The sequence below is a fragment of the Homo sapiens genome, chromosome 6 (genome assembly GCF_000001405.40).
Source record: "Homo sapiens chromosome 6, GRCh38.p14 Primary Assembly".
Taxonomy (NCBI): Eukaryota; Metazoa; Chordata; class Mammalia; order Primates; family Hominidae; genus Homo; species Homo sapiens.
The window spans coordinates 116,192,031-116,209,641 of record NC_000006.12 but is presented as its reverse complement, the minus strand read 5'-3'; the positions used below and the strand labels follow the sequence as shown (position 1 = coordinate 116,209,641).

Sequence of the window (17,611 nt, the reverse complement as noted above, 5' to 3'; positions counted from 1 at the left end):
TACTCTGCCTTCCCTCTGCTGCCTGGTGAACCTTGGAAGCTTGTCACAAGGTTACCTTCTATGAGGAGCCCTCCCCAATACCCACTCTGCACATCAATGATGGCATTCATCATGTTACACTATAATCAACACTTGTAATAAGCATATTTATGTATTTTTCTTTCTTCTGAGACTCTGAGATCTTTTAAGAAAAGAACCATCTTAACATTCATGTTTATACTCCTAATATCAGGCAAGTACCAGAGGATTCCTAACTACAGAAGTAAGTGTGTGTGGGAAAAAGCTACCAGGCAAGACTTACCAGGTGACCATAAAGACCAGAGGTTGGCAAACCACAGCCCACAAGCTAAGAAAGGTGCTTACATCTTAAAATGGTAATGTAAGTATCAATATAATAGCCTTGATTTTGTCTCTTGGTGCCCAAAGCCTATAATATTTACTATCTGGCCCTTTAAGAAAAGGTTTGCTGAATCCTGATATGTAGTATTTAATAACTACGGGACAGTAACGTAATAAAAATACAATTAGTTATATATAATGCACTATTACTAGAAAGTACCAAAAGAATAATAAAATCATCAATTTAAGAGACTTTGTTTAAAGCCTATGCAGTCTCTGAGCAGAGTGAATATTACAAAATGATTTGTGATCAAACTAATGAAAGACAACATAAATACCTTTATGTATCTTTTAATCACAGTGGATCCCCAGCCATGATGTAACTGCCCTTCAATTACTCTCTGGCCTGGGTTCTCTATTAGTATATTCTATGAGCCAGATGATGGGTCTCTTTACTCTGCCATCTCTTTAAAACCTATCTATATGTGCCTTTGCTATTGCTTTTATGATTTTAGCACACTTTATTTTTAGTCTCTGAATAAGATGTTTTCAGGCTCACTTGGTCTGCTTGTTAAAAGAGCAATCGCAGGGTCACAGAAAGACACTACAAGCCTAGGGCTGAAAGCCACCACTGGTAATATTTTTCCTCATGAATGTCAAAGGAAGTTGAAAGATCCCAAAAATGCACATGATGACATGATGACATGATCAGAAAGAACTAAAGAGCTTGTAGCTTGAGATGAACGAATAAAGGCACTATTGCCTAAGTACAGCCTTACAAATTAACTGTGCAAGAAATAGGAATGTTTTCCTTGGTACAGCAAAACAAAGATGCCTCCAGGTAAAACCTGGGACAGGTTTTAGGGGCTAGCTTCAAAGAGATACACTGTAGCTTTCATTTCAAACGGTTTTAAAATGTATTTGTGAAGCATAAAACATTTTGGGAGGGTTTTGTTTTCAACAGAAGTCAGCCCACTGACATTATCCTTACTTGAAATCTTCCACCTCCTTCAGAAGAGAGAAGCTGGAAAAAATTAGGAGAACTAAAATGGGATGCCTCCGGGCAAAGCAGACTCAGAAATGTGGCAATGCTTATTCCTTTGAAAAAAGTTACAGTTGACTTCTCTAGCTTTGAGGCACAAAGAGATCAGAAAAAATAACAGGAACATAGAAATCATAAGCTAGATATTAGGGGTCATTAACTATCAATGTCTTAAGGAAATCTGCCCCACACTGAGGACTGAAGTGCTCAATTATTTAACAAACGAAAGACCTGGAATAGAACTTTCACTGTGTTTCTTCTAACCTGGTTTTTCTTCTGTAGTAGGTAGCCTAACAGAATGCCGAGACAACATTTCAGTATGTATACACTATGCTAAACTCAGCTCCCAAATCAATATAAATAACAAAAATAATCTGTGATGGGAACCCAGTCCTCATTCCATAATGATCAGTAATGAGGCACAGAGTAAAGAAAGCCTGGGGCGGCTCTTTATAGCCTCTGCAAGGAGTGGGCAGAGACTCAGGTAGAAATACAGTGGGAACCTGGGCACGAGGGGTTCACAGTTGAGTAATGGCTGGGTTCCCAGAATATTCTACTCTAAGCAGGGCTTTTAACCATCTAAATTCCTCTTTTTTCTTCTTTGGTCTTATTTTTGCCTTTTTCACACTGCCTGCTTCCAATCTAATGCAACAAGTTTATATATTTTGGGTATTTTTTAGAATTAACATATAATCATAATAAAATACAATCATATATACTTTTCAAACATAAAGATGAAAGACTTTTTAAACCAAAAATTAAGTAACTCTTTACCCGGTAAGCATGAAAAAAAATCTGAAAAATAAGGTTATAAACTTAGTCTTTACCTATATAATATGGACATATGTATCTATCATCTATCTAATTAAAGATTGTAAAGGATTTTTTTTGCTTTCTCTCTTTAGAATACATTAAGTCCACCATAAAAAAGAAAACATTTACTTCTATAGCTATAGACTCTATTGATCTTAAAAGGAAATGCAGGTACAGAAATATTTTTTCCCATGATTTCTTAAGACATATGATCCATTTATTGAGTGCATACCTTCAATCTTTCAGAATAAAGTGGAAGAAATCTGCTGTAGGCAGGGAATAGGTATAGTTATTAATGCAGAGATATCAGCTCCCAGAGGATCTGAATAAAACAATATTGTAATAATGAAACTATTTTCTAATAAAAAATTACATTCTTTTGACCTAGGAAAAAGTTTGTTAAGAAAGCATATGACATAAGTGATCAGACTATTTATTTTTAAAAGGAAAGATGTCAATATAAATCCAGAGAACTTTAAATTCTAGAATTACTCAATAAACAAGAAGAAAACATTTAAAATCCAATTTAAATGAGACAAATATTTTGCACACAATTATTTGGCAAATGTTAGCAATAAACACTAAATGCCCTATGTGTATTCAATGAAGAAAAATGTGAGTAAAGAGGAAACTGCACTAGACTTCGACCAATTAACAGTTTATCTAAAAACTATGGCAAAGAAAATGTTTTGCCCTCCAGATATAAAATCCATTTAAAACATCAAAAGGAACTTTATCTAAATGTCTCATGCCAGCAAATTAAATCATTATGGAGCAGGGTAGGAGGGATGGCAGAAAGAAATTCATAATTTGCAGGTGACTTCATTAAGAAACAGCTGTTGCTGTTGATGTAAGGAGAGTTGCTATTCCATTTCTACTGAAAAGCTTCAGAGCACAAAGTTCTGTACCAGAGTAGACACACAGATAAAAGTATATTACAGGATATGGTCTCCAGTGTTCCTGGGTGGTATGGACCCAAATCAGACAGTCTTGAGTCAAGTCTTAGTTGTGCAATTTCCTTGGGTAAGTGCTTTAGTCATTGAGAGACTGTTGGCTTATCTATAAAATGATCACAGTTATAACACTCACCCCATTAGGTAATTGTGTGAATTATATGCAATGATATATGTGAAACATTTAGCACAATGCTTTACACATAGTAAAAATTTTGTGTTAGAGCTATTTTTACTTTAACAAGTTCCTCTGGCCTAAGTACAGGCAGTTGATTAACCACGAAATGCTATGGGCCACACTGCATCATGGAATTGCCCTGCATGGGCCCAAAATGCAAGATTTCCCTTATCAAAATGCTACTTACCTTCAAAACATATTTTGAAACATATGCTATGAAAAAACCCTAAAAGTCCTACTGAGCAGGAGGCAGGGTGGTTCTACTTTTTGTTACTTCCAGGAAAAAACACTGGGCTAGATGGTCCAATGGTCTATTAGATCATTCTCAAAGGACTGAGCAGAGAAACTTGGGGTAGCTATTAGAACCTTGGGGACCACAAAACCTAATCTCATTGTGCAGATATGAAAATGAGGCCTAGAGAGGCTGACTTGCCTATCATCATGACATAATGAGGAAAACAGCAGGATGGAATGAAAATCTTGGTCTCTTTGATTTTTTCATTACACATTCCTTACTGTCATATCTACTAATCTTATTGTTTTATCCCCTTTATTAAGACATATTACAGCCTTGTTGTAAAGATGTAAATACAATTAGTGAAAAATTTAAAATGTACCCTTTTAATACAAAATCAGAATAAAGACGGAAACTACACAAACAGCTGGTTTATTCTTAAAGAAATGTATAAAATATCTGAACAGCCTTTTTTCCCCCCCAATTTATTCCACATATTTAAGGAATTTCCTTTGGGAAGACTAGGTCTAGCAAGATCAGATGCTCTGTATATCTGTGTAGAGACTGTGGGGCTCCAGAGGGAGAAGCTGCTGACTCAGTTAAGTTCCAACCTACCAGATAACAGGGAAATTATCTTTCTAAGGTTAAATGTTATTTTAAAATTATCTCGTAATTACTCAAGTAAGATATGTGAACACTTCCAAATTTCCAAATATATGTTCTAAATTTTGAAACATAAAAAAAAAGTCTGAAGTCTTCTCTAAATAGTACTCTCAGTTTCTGGTCCCTAGTATCATTGTTGTCATTTTAGTGTCACACCAAGCTTGTCCAGCCCAGCTTATTTTGTTGTTGTTCTATTTTGTTTTGTTTTAGGCTTTTAGCAGCCTGAAGACATGGTTTTTAGTTTCTGTCTGTAATGATAAGCAGAAAAGAGGGATGAGGAAGGGGTTTTACCGGCCTAACCAGAAACAGAAACTAAGAACCCATGAATGTATTATTTGCTTGGACACTTCTGCACTGTATACTTTTCAGATAAATTTCTACGGACTTGCATACACACATATGTAGTTCACATTTTGGTGTGTATCTTTCCAATAAGGTGTTATGGACTTACACACACATATACATGTATTTTCTAGTACACATTTTGTGCAATTTGCTTTCCTCACCCAAAAAAATGACTTCAAAATCTAGCCACGTACTTAAATCTAGCCATGTAATTATAACAAATAATTACTGAGCACCTACTACACACTATTCATTGTTCTACTTGTTGAAAACATGGACAAAGTTTTTTCTCTCATAGACCTTACATTCTAGAAACGCTTCATTCTTTTTAACCACAACATTGCAATCCAGCATATGAATACAACAGTACTTTGGTGATTTTTTTCATTATAAATTCTGGAGTAAACAACATTGTATCTGAGTCCATGTATACATATGAGTACTTCTTTAGGGCTTATAAATGTTAAACGGCTGGCTCATTGCATATCTGCGTTTCTAATCTTAATATTTACACTGAGTTTGCTTTCAGAATTGTTGGGGACAATAGTTTTTAACATTGTTAGCAGCATATATGTGTGTACACTTACCCCACACTCTCATCAGGTCATACTGTCAGATCTTAATTTTTGCTGATATACTAAGTGAAAGTGGACATCTCATTGTTTTACCTTGCATTTCCCTGATTACTAATTAGGTAGTGCATCTTTTTGAATCTTTCTCAGTCACTACCTCTCATCCCTTTTACATTTCTACATTCAAGGCTGAGAATGAAGTAATTACCAAAAAGCAATTTGTTGTATTCAACTGAGTAAATTGAGGGCTATTTATGAAGTTACTTTATTATAAAAATTCAACAAACACACTCTGAGAGCACTTGACAAACTCGGTGGTATTAACTCCTGAAGTGTTTCTTACCCCACCAAAAGCCTTCAGGCTCACAGCAGTGCATCGTCCTCTCCCTTACCCAGGTGTTTCACTGCAGGACCAAATTCCAAATTATACTGCCCAAAGTGAGCTGGGTCAGAGGCCACAGCCTTCGAGGGTTTTTTTTCAGCGGGTCTATGGAGAGCTGGGAATAGGTATATTTGATGATCACCGTGTGTGTGTCAGGGCATCTGTCGTCTAAAACTACTGGTGTTCTCTAAAAGGTAAATTATGATAATAATTATAGATATCAAGTGGCAAAAAATATTTCTGACAACATCAAGTACTGGTGAAGATATTGAGAATATAAGGTATCTGGAACTCACACTGTGCAAGTACTTTGAAAAATTATTTGGCAGTTCCTACTAAAACTGAACTCACAAATACACCCTATAATGTGGCAATTCTAATTCTAGGTGTAGCTCTAAGGGTAACATGTAAATAGGCATGAAAATCACATGTAAATGATGTTCATGAGGCATTATTTATAACAGTCCCCAATTAAATTAACTCACGTCTACCAAGGGTAGGATGAATAAATAAAATGTGGTGTAGTTATATTAATATAATGGCATATTGTACAGCAATGAAAATTAATGAATTACTGTGACATTCAGTAACAGGGAGACATTATAGGAGCATAATGTTGAGGAAGAGCCACTAGATGCAGGAAAATACATACTGCATAATTACATATATAAAATAAAAAATGAGACAAAATTAATCTGTGGTGTTAGGTGTCTCTCCAGGAAAGGGATGTTGGCTAGAAGGGAGCATGAAGAGAGCTTCTGGCGGACTGCAGGGCTCTATTAGCTGAAAATATGTTCACATTTAATAACAATGTATAGTAAAGTAATAATAAAGAACTGACATAATAGTTTCATGACCATGAAAATGAATCCAAGAAATAGAATAAAAACAAGTGTTAAATCAGAAATGAAAGACTCACATTAAATGAGAATCTAATACAATACTGTAAAACTGTTTAGTATAGAAAAGCAACCACTTGGTAATTTGGTTTGTTCAAATTTGCATTAAGTGACATTTTATATAACTTCACTATTTCCTGTGTCCTACCATAAAAATGTTTAATATCATAATCTGTGGGAAAAAATTTGTGTATTAAATTAAATTTAAAAAACCACTTGTATTAAGTGAAAAACCATGTTTGGAAAAGTAAAAGTTTATTATGAGACAGCCCCTCCCTCCCTTTTTGCATTACTACATTACCCCTAGTAATATTTGTTGCCTTTGTACTTTCCTCACTCCTTAAGATTTTCTAGTTAAGGAAATGTGAGGTAATTAAGAACTGTCACTTTTTCTGATTCTTTCCATAGAGCTTCTGAATTTACTTGCTCAAGTTAACAATAATAAAAATAGCTGTCATTGTCTTAATATTTTAATGTTTATCTGCAATGCATTTATGAAACTGTACACTGCAGTTCCCCCTTTCCTAGACTATAATCTCAGAATGCCATTCTTAACCTAACAAACATCATGTGACTGGATTTTCATATGACTCTGTAAATACCACTCAATCTAAACTTAGTGTCACTGAACTTTGCAGGCATCAAATTAACAGATTTGCATCTGTAAAAGAAAATAGCCTTTGTTTTTAGAATTAAAGAAATAAACCTATTGCCAATAATAATTTTCTAAAGGTTGAAACTCTTAAAGGTGGAATCAAGAACATATGGGATCATTGTTTCCTCGTTTCCCCTAAAAAAGAGTATGGCGAACAAAACTCAGTGAATTTTATTTTTTAGTGATGAGTTTAAGAACTTACAGCTTTAGATTTAAGTGGGCCAAAATTGAGAAGGAACTTTGTTCTGCTACTGATCTATGTATTCCAACCATGCTAAGCATAAGAAAAAAAGGTACTACAGAAATGTTTTCTCGAAAAGAATAGCCAAGTGTGTGCAAGGAAGGCCCAGAGCTAAGGTAGGGGAGCCTGCATCACATGGAGGATTCCTACACTGTCTAGACTGGTGCTCTAGCAGGTATGGGCCACACGTGGCTACTTCAAGTTAAATTAAGTAAAATTTAAGTCAGTTCCTGCAACTCCCTGCCACATTTCAAGTGCTCGGTAGCCACATGTGGTTAATGGCTACCACACTGGACAGCCTGGATATAGACTATTTCTTCACTCCAGGAAGTTCTATTGGTCAGCACTCCTCCAGGTGTAAATTAACTTTATTTCACAGTTCCTAAAATTATCAGCTGTAGGTGCATAAATCTACCAGTGTGGCATTTGGATCCAAATAATAAGCAAACATGATTTGGTCCAGAAATAGAGCATTTAAAAAAGTAGAGGCAATAATTATAATCATGAAACCATGCCAAGGCTTCAGTGCAGGCTAGAAGGGGAAATACTCTGCCCAGAATCAAGTGGCTTAGGCTGTACACCTGTGTTTCTTTCGGCTGCATGTCCTTGCCCATGACCTCACATGTCAGAAGTGGCCACATATTACCTTCCCGACTTCATGGGTGGGAAGGGATGTCAAACAAGCCTAAATAATAGTAAGCACATGTTGTTTGCCCTATTATCTTTATATTAACCAAGACTTTTAATATCATCAGTAAACCTGACTCTGGCAAATGCTCACCTCACTGAAGTTCTCAGAACTGAAAAGCATTACCGAGGCAGTCCCATAAGTCACTGGTCTCATTAGGGAAATTTGATTGGTCAATTCTTCTCCACCAACGGATTACAGAACACTACTCTATATACTGGAGTGATTCTAAATTCAATTTCTGTAACAAACTATGTTCAAATACATACCTTTATACAGTGCAATATGCCCAGAATGAATAAACAATACTGTTCACTGAAATAAAGGTGGTGGGAATGACTTCCAATTACACAGTTAGTTATAATGGCTACAGCCAAAAAGGCAAGAGTATCATAGAGGTAACTAATTGTAGTTACCTATATTAAACTTTTTTATCTGCTCATGTATTGTCCCTCCAAGATTTTACATGTGGTGACTCATTCTGAAGGATCCCCTTATCTCACCTTCTTATTCTGCACACATCTAGGTGCAGTACCTCTTGGGCAAGTTGGTACTTCACTCCTATTGGGCAAGTTAGTACTTCACTCCTACTGGGCAAGTTGGTGCTGTGGGGTGCTACCATAGTACCTTCCCGCTTTTTTCCATTCCTCTTGAGAACAAAGAAACTAAACAGAGAACCTTTCAGACCTTGGTTAGAAAAAAGCACTGGTAAGTTGTAAGGCAGCTGTATTTCTGAGTGGGTGGGGGAAGAAGAAGGGAGCATATGTGGATTTCCTCAGAAGAAAAAGTAAACATGGTCTGCCACAGGATTTATGCCAAGAAGGTGAAGAACTGTTATGTGATATCCTTCAGTTTCTTTAGCTGGGAACCTGAAACTGCTCCAAGCTAGTGGGAGAAGAGATGAAGTACGATCCATAAGGACATTAAATATCACCCAGAGAGAGAAGTTGAGGAATGACTTCATGAATAGACTTTTAAAACTAAGGGAATTATATACCAGAGCTCGATAATATCCTTCTGGATAAAATAACCATTACTTATAATAGTGTCTTACCTTTATTTAGCTATGCTTTTTAAAATAAAATTTTAATTTTAGTAGTTTTAGATGGACAGAAAAATTACAAAGATAGTCCAGAGTTCCCATACACCTCACACTCAATTTCCCTATCAATATCTTTCAATATTATGGTACATTTGTCACAATTAGTGAAGCAATACCAATACATTATTATTAACTAAAGTCCTCACTTCATTTAGATTTCCTTAATTTTTACCTAATGTCTCTTTTCTGTGCCAGGATCCCATCCAGGATACCATATTACGTTTACTGGTTATGTCTCCTTAGGTTACTCTTGACCGTGACATAGTTTCAGACCTCCCCTGTTTTTGGTAACTTTGACAGTTTTATGGAGTACTAGTTAGATATTTTGTAGAATGTCCTTCAATTGGGATTTGTCTGACTTTTTCATTAGACTGGGTTATGTGTTATTGGGTGGAAGACCATGGAGATAAAGTGCCACTCTCATGTTATATTAAGGGTATATACTATTAAGGGTCACTGTTGATGTTGACCTGGATGATTTGGCCAGGACAGTATTTGTCAGGTTGCCCCACTGCAAAGTTACTCTTCCCCCCCCACTTTCCATACTGTACTCTTTGTAAGGAAGTACAATGCACAGGCTACCCTTAAGGAGTAAAAATTCATGCTCTACCTTCTTGAAGGTAAAATGTGTGCATAAACTATTTTGGAAATATTTTGTGTGGTAGATTAGTCTCTTCTCCCCATTTATTTACTTGTTAATCACTTATTTATACCAGACTCATTGATGGTTATTTTATACTCTGGGTTATAATTCCATACTACTTTATTTATTTTGTTCTCAAATTGTTCCAGCATTAGCCATTGGGAGCTCTATCCTTTAATTCCTGTGTCCCTTTTACACACCTCCATCATTGTAATTTTTAAAAAGCATTTATTTACTTCTGGCACTACAAGATGCTCTAGGTCATCTTGTATATTTCCTGCCCCAGGCCTAAAGTCAGAGATTTCTCCAAGGAGCCCTGGCTTCTAATACTGGAGAATGGCGTTAGAAACTAAGATCTGAGTGCTAGGTGACTTCTTTGTTTTTTAAAGATGCTTTTGTACATACATATTTCTCTTTCCACAACATTGATGACAGATAGGTAAACTAAGGCTTAGAGTAGTTAAAGGATTTGCTCAGTGCCAAGGCTAATAATAGCAGTGTTGGAATAAAACTCAGTCTTCTAATGGTAGTTCCCTGTCCTTTGACTATCTAATGTCTTCTGGATGAGAACACAGCATCAAAGACCAGATTAACAACCTATAAGAAAAGGAAAAAGGCACTTCCAGAAGATAGTCCTTTCAGAAGGTAAAATTTAATAGGCGTAACTGACAAACTCTCTTGTCTATCTAGAAGAAACAACTGGAGAGTCTGTCTTTCATGGAAAGATATTTTTATACATTACGGCTTTTGACTGAGGGTGATTTAGCTCCCCTCACCCCCCAGGGACATTTGGCAATTTCTGGTGGGTGGAGGGTGCTGCTACTACCATCTAGTGGATAGAGGCCAGTGATCTTGCTAAACATTATATAATGCACAGAACAGCTCCTCCAACAAAGAATTACCCAGTTCAAGATGACAATAGTGCTAAGGTAGCTAAAGGAATAAATACTAGAAGATTCTTCATCTAATTTACACTGTTTATATTCTAACTGAATTAGTTTTCTATTGGTGGCTATGAGGGATCACCATGGAAGACTCTGTCTCATTCTGTGACCTCATGAGTTAGCCTATCAGAAGAAAAAGTCCCCACTTTGGTTAAGAAACATGGCTCTCAAATCAGATAAGAGACTCCTGTAGTCCTTTTTTTAAAAAAATATTGTTTAGAGACAGGATCTTCCCCTGTTGCCCAGGCTGGAGTGCAGTGGTGTGATCGTAGCTCATAGGTAACTTTGAACTCCTGGGCTCAAGCAATCCTGCCTCAGCCTCCCAAGCAGGTAGGACTGCAGGTGCACACCACCAGATCTGGCTATTTTTAAATTTTTTTTCTAGGGATGAGGTCTCATTATGCTGTCCAGGCTAGTCTTGAACTCCTGGCCTCAAGTGATTCTTCTGCCTCAGCCTCCCAAACTGCTGGTATTATAAGCATGAGTCACTATACCCAGCCACCTGTAGTTCTTATGTATGGGACGAATAGAAGAAGGCATGCTCTTTAAACAAGCTGCTTGAGTCAAGCAGGGCATGAGCACAGTTACATATAATGGTCCTGAAAAGGAAAGGCCTATCTCCATATAAGCCATCATTTACTGGCCACATTGACTGTTTTCTGTTTCAGGATCAAGCTGTGTGGAATAGTTACGTGGCTTTGAATGAATGGGTGAACCTTACCAAGTAGATGGCTGTTACCCAGAAACTGTTGTTCACTACTCAGTGACCTCAATTTGGAGAGGAAGTGAGTGACTGAATCCCTATTTGTTGATGTGGTGACCACCCAGCACTTTGACAGGAGAAATAACCCTTTTATTTACCAGGATCTCTCTTGGAAGATTTAGAAAAAGCTTGCTCACTCTTGGCACTAGCAAGCTGATGAAGGACATTTTCTGAGCAAAGCTAGGTGCCCTGGGGCCATAAATTGCCACTGCCCTCTATGACAAAATTCAGAGAGCTTTGGTGGCAGCCCTATCTGGGGTGAAGCTATTTGTGGAGCTCCTAATGAAGTAGACATGTGTATATAAAGTAGTCAATGCACTGGCATGTCTGGTACATGTAAACGCTTCTCAATGGTAGCAAACATAAAGAAGAAATGTTTACCTAGCGCTTTCAATCCATCAGTCCTTGTGCTAAGTTCTTTATACATTATCTCACTGAATCTGCATAACATCCTATGAGATAAATACCATTATCAAGTTTATTTTCACATGTGGAACTTAAAAGTAATTGTGTCAATTGGCCAATGCTAAACAATCAAAAAGTAGAGATGGTATTTGAATCTCTAACAGTCTAACTCCGACATTTGGGTGCCTTCATTACTGTATTATACTGTCTTCTATCTGCACTACAGCAACTAAAATTATTGTTATTAACCGCTGTACCTGGCTGTTTGTTCTTAAAACTTGGGTGGCAGAGGTAAAAGGTGGTGAAGGTCAAGAATGTTGATTCTTGACCGGGAAGATTCTTCCCAGTATCTTCCAATGATTCAATTCTGCTTAGCATTTTAAATCAGACAAGATGATAATCAGAGACCTAGCAGAGAATCAAGGACTTTTTGTGGATTTTGTAAAATGTTCAGTTATAAGTCTCAGTTGGCCACCAGTAAAGGGAATGGTGTCTACAAACTATGGATGGTATGTGGTTGAGGACAAAGCTGACATCGACATCATTAACCAGGCAAAGCAGATCCGTGGCCAGATGCCTATGAAGATTCATGCCTCTTCAGACCCTAGGTAGAGAGCAGAAGATAGTAGAGGTGAGGAGGGCAGCTGGCCCACTACAAATGGAGAAAGGAGGTGGGGGTGGACAGGAGATCCTGCTTCCCGTGACCCTCTGGCTCTGAGGCTATGGCTCTGATGGACACACACAGCTGTAGAAGAATGAGGAGCCCTCAGACACCAGGTCTGCCAGAAATGAAAGGAAAAAGAGCTGGTCAGATGCAACTAGATAGAACTCTGGAGAAAACATGGCTATTCCATTTGAGGATATCTCCAACACCAGAGTAGAAGAGGGGAGGAAAAGGAAGTATCTGCTTTCCCTGTCTAATGAAGAACGGTGCCTGGCTCATGGTAAGCACTATGTGAGTGTTAAAAACAGCATACACAAGGCTGCACAAGTAGAAGAGGAAAAGGTGGAGAGAGTGAGCCAGCATTCCCAACACCGCAGAGTTAAGAAGCAGCAAACACAACCCAGAAAAAGTCAGCAATGCTGGTGAAATGCTCATAAAATGTCATAGCAGACACAAAGAAACACTATTTTGTTTAGTGTAATGAAGCTACTCCTCCTGTTCCCCTGACCTCAACTTTCTATATACTATATATAATTTGATAAAATAACATCCAAATAGTTTGAGTATTTTTCTAATTGATATAATTTCTTTGTGCTATTAAAAACCAAATGGCAAAGAGAAAACTTTTTTTTCCCTAGATCAAACTAATCACTAATAATGGTTGATTTATAGTTTGGGGAAAAATTTAGAAAAGATTTAAATGCTATTAGGTAAAACTGGTTTAAATTTTGATTAACTGAACTCTTTCCCATTGTGTATATTTTGTTGCTGTAGTTAGAGCAATGCAAAAATTCAAAAACATTTAAGGATTTAAATGTACTTTTAGGAAATAACAAATGTGATATGGAAAATATAACTAATCTATCAGTTAAAAAATGGAATTCCTGAAGGTCATTGCTGGGTGATTTGAGGTTTAAGTCATCAAGGAAGTTAGATGCTTATGGAGTAGGAGTAATAAGGAAAGGACGACTGTCCTTTTGAGATACAATCTCACTCTTGTGGATAGCATGATGTCAGGAAATAACAGAATGTCAGGGATAACAGAATGTCAAGTTTAGCCCCTTAACAACCCGACAACACCAACCAATGAGTGTTACAATAGGTACTCAAACAAGTACTAGACAGATGGATGGAAGAATGAATAACTGACCAAAATGCTCATCATCAAATATGGTTAGAGGCAGGAATCTCTCTCCATCTCCACCTTCCCCCTTTCCAACTTGTGGCTTAAAATAGCTTTTTGGTCTCTTCTAAAGTTACTGTTAGAAAATAGCATCTCTTTGGTCTTCAGTCCCCACCCACAATCCCACCATCTGTTCTGTGCACATTAAATTTGCTTAATTGCTACTAGTTGCTATTGTTGATCTAAATCTGCCTACACTTCAATCTTAATGAATATATTTAGCTAACAAGAGAGTCTACCATATTCTAAAGATGTGCCTTTTCCAACCAAAAATTTAAAAGCTGTTCTGATAGCCAGCCATCTTTCTAACCCCTGATTATGTACATTTGAGGGAGGGAGCAGATAAATGATATGAAAGTAATCATTTCAAATACAATCATATATAAAGCAGAATATATGGATTATCATTGGAATCCCTGTATTGAACTATTCTTAAAAATGAATATTTTAGTAATGATTTGGTCACAATTTGGCCATGACCAACCTAATCTGGTAAACTACTATGACCTCTTGAATAAAAAAAAAGTTAATTTAATAAAAAAGTTAAGGTAAACTTAATAGAAAAATACAGAAAATGGTGTTTCCAAAAAAATTTCCAATGTTTGAGTCAATTAATATTCTCCTCTGTATAATTTTAATAGCGAAATTGTGATATAAAATATTGGTATCATGCAAGTTATTTTCTAAGCAGTAGATACACTGTTTCTCTTACTATCATATGCCTATATTATAACTTCAGTATGTTTTATTTTATAGAAATTAACCAGATTGACATTTCAGTGAACAAGAGAACTAACAATGAGATGATATAAAATATAATGTGACATAGGCTGATCCTAGGCTGGCAAGCAAAAACAATTCATGCTACCTAGAAGTCAAAGCAGAATATAGAGAGAGCGGTAGAGTATGGATGGCAGGAAGGTGAAGGTGAGGTAACTTTAGGTTTGAATAATCACTGTATATCTTCCAGATTTGGGGATGGCAAATATGCCACAGTATCCAACTATGACTTTTGGTTATCAGTACTTAGAAAAATATGCTTGTATCAAACTAATAATGTAAACCATAAAAATATTACAACAGTATGTAGAGTGTCTTATAATAGAAAAGAATAGGTTCTAGCTCCATACCTGCCCCACTTCAGCATTGTACCCAAAAGCCACTACCTTTAGTCATTTGTTTCTAACTCTTCTGATAATTTACATTCAAAACTCTAAATAATATAATTATACTTGTAGTTCTTAGTTCATAAGCCATAAACAACATCTACTGACTTCCCATTAAGAAATAAAGAGAATTCACATTATCCTTTATTATTCTTACCCCTCCCTCACAGTTGTTATAGTTTTATTCTTTTACTGGCCACTGCTAACTTTAAACAATATACTTCAGGTTCTATCTGTTCAATCAATTTTTAACTCCCCACAACATAAAATAGGCTATTAGTGATTCTCCCCTTCTCACCAATTCCCAGTCCCCTTCCACATCTTAGCCTCTGACTGCCATTTTTTTCCCGAAATTGTCAACTACCCTTTCTAGGCTTTGTTTCTAAGTTGTTCCTAAAAATTAAAGGTAAATAATCTGTTTACTCTGTTATGAATATAAATATTACTTGTTGTGAAAACAAGTAATGTGCTAGAATTGCATTTCTATTTTTAGAGTTCCATTTTTATAAACTCCGTCATTTGAAAGAACATGTTACTAGAATAAAGATCAAATAGATTTCCTTTTCTTAATTTTCACAACTGCTCAAAATCATGTCACATTTTTTGTACATTCTGATTGGACCATGACATCATTCTACAATTTCTTACTTTACCTGGAGTTCCTAATTGCTTTTACTTTATTTATTGTTGACCAAATATTCTTTTGTTGTTGTTGTTGTTGAGACAGGGTTTCACTCTGTTGCCCAGGCTGGAGTACAGTGGGGTGATCATGGATCCTGGGCTTAGGTGGTCCTCCCACCTCAGCCAACCTAGTAGCTGGGACCACAGATACATGCCACCACATCTGACTACTTTCTGTATTTTTTGTATTTTTTGCCATGCTGCCTAGGCTGGTTTCGAACAACTGGGCTCAAGTGATCTGCCTGTTTCGGCCTCCCAAAGTGCTAGGATTATAGGTGTGAGCCATTGTGCCTGGCCCAACTCCTCTTTTTTTATTTTTAACAGTATAATTATATGTTTAAGTCCAACAACAAAGATGAAAGATTCAAGGTTTATTACAGCAGAGTTAAAATTAAAGCACGCTTTGAAAATACTCTTGTTTTTAAATGCTTACACAAAGACAACCATTTGCTCATACTGTCCCTTAGCACAGAGATGAGACATATTCTGTGTATATTAGTGACTTTCAGTTTATGAAACATTGCTTGCATATATTATTTTATTCTCTCAATCCATAAATTAGGAAATATCTTCTCCATTTTACAAAGTAACTTAAAGTTAGAGAAACAGAGATTTAGCCAAGATCACACAGCAAGCAAGTTGCAAGTTCCAGATTTGAAATCAAGTTTTCATTTTTCAAACGTCAGTGTTCTTTGCTTCCACCACAGCTTTCTAACACACGGGCTCTTCCTGCCTTTTGTTTAAAAGTAAAACATCCTAATTTTTTATTTATAGGTTTTGTTATCACAGCACTCCTATAAGGAAAGCACAATATCTCCACTTCTTATTTATTACTGGATACTATGGGGCAAGATTTTAAAAAATAAACAGTGAAAAACTGGCAGAACTAAGAGTAAAACACAAATAAACTAAAAGGCCATTACACAAAGAGTTGCTAATAACAAACTGAATAGTCAAGAAAGGCCAAAAGTTCATAAGCATATTCTCAGGTAATATATGAGAGTCTGTAAGGCACGGAGCTATTCTGTACAGCTTTAGTAATGCTGCATTTACATAAAAAGGAAAAGTGATCCCAACAATACTCTGACAAACTAAGTATATCTCATACAAATAGCTTCTTGGCAACAATCCTGGCTTTTGACTTTAAGGTCAAGCCAAACCAGAGACCAGTCAGGACAACTGGGGTCTGCTGAAGATGCAACGTGAGAAAGCAGGGGAAGTTGAGACTAGAAAAGACACACCTTCCAATAGTAGGAGGCCAAAGAAGCAGGTTTCAGCTTAATACCAGGAGGAAATCGTAATAGAGGAAATGTGCACACAGAAATAAAGACAAAGTATTAGTACTCAGACCAGATAGATTCTGGTTAGTTGAAGTTTTACACTCTCTATACAGGTATAAGGCAAAACCTCAAAATTCAGTTACAAAGTTTTGAACTTCATATTGACTTTTTATAATATACAAAGTAAACATTCCTTAATGTACTTTAAGATTTGATTTTTGACTTTATATCAAAAGAAAATAGTTTAGGAAGTTTTGCTTTTTAAAAACAATACCTACTTAACAGAAACACAGAATCCAATTTGAGCAACATAAAATGTCCATTTCAAGTCTTTCATCTGTATATAGTTAAACCCTAGTACTAATTTTCTCTTTTTAAAATAATGGAGGGGAATATGTATAACCCTTTAAAGTAGAAATGGCATCTTAAAAGAATATTCGAGTATACCCAAAACGGAAATAATGCCTTTTCATTATTAATATTATCTGCTGATATTTATTGAGAGCTCCTCACTATGTATTAGGCACTGTGCTTAACATAACACATATATTATCTCACTCATAATACAACTTATCCCAATTTTAAGAGCAAACAGAGACTTACAGAGGTTAATTAACTGGCAAAATCACACAGTTAACTCTGAACTCACACCATTTCTTAAACATCACACAGACTACCACTCTCTCTAACCACCTAATTAAGTCCACATGACAAATTCTTAATCATGATATTAATGATTACCAAGTTTCACCTAAGTAATGGGCTAACGGGAGAT

At 36.3% G+C, this 17,611-nt stretch overlaps 2 protein-coding genes across 4 annotated transcripts in view; one reads left to right on the top strand and one right to left on the bottom strand.

Annotated features, from left to right (window-relative positions):
• NT5DC1 (5'-nucleotidase domain containing 1) overlaps window positions 1-17,611 on the bottom strand; it is a 148,645-nt gene that overhangs the window by 39,856 nt on the left and 91,178 nt on the right. The window lies entirely within an intron of this gene.
• Window positions 1-17,611, top strand: part of COL10A1 (collagen type X alpha 1 chain) — a 98,236-nt gene that overhangs the window by 7,503 nt on the left and 73,122 nt on the right. Inside the window, exon 1 of one of the 2 annotated variants that reach the window (XM_011535433.4) lies at window positions 308-379. The exons of the other annotated variant lie outside the window; for it this stretch is intronic. The gene's annotated coding sequence lies outside the window, so the exon portion shown is untranslated. Of the gene's footprint in view, window positions 1-307; window positions 380-17,611 lie in introns of those variants that run through there. 2 annotated transcript variants of the gene reach the window in all.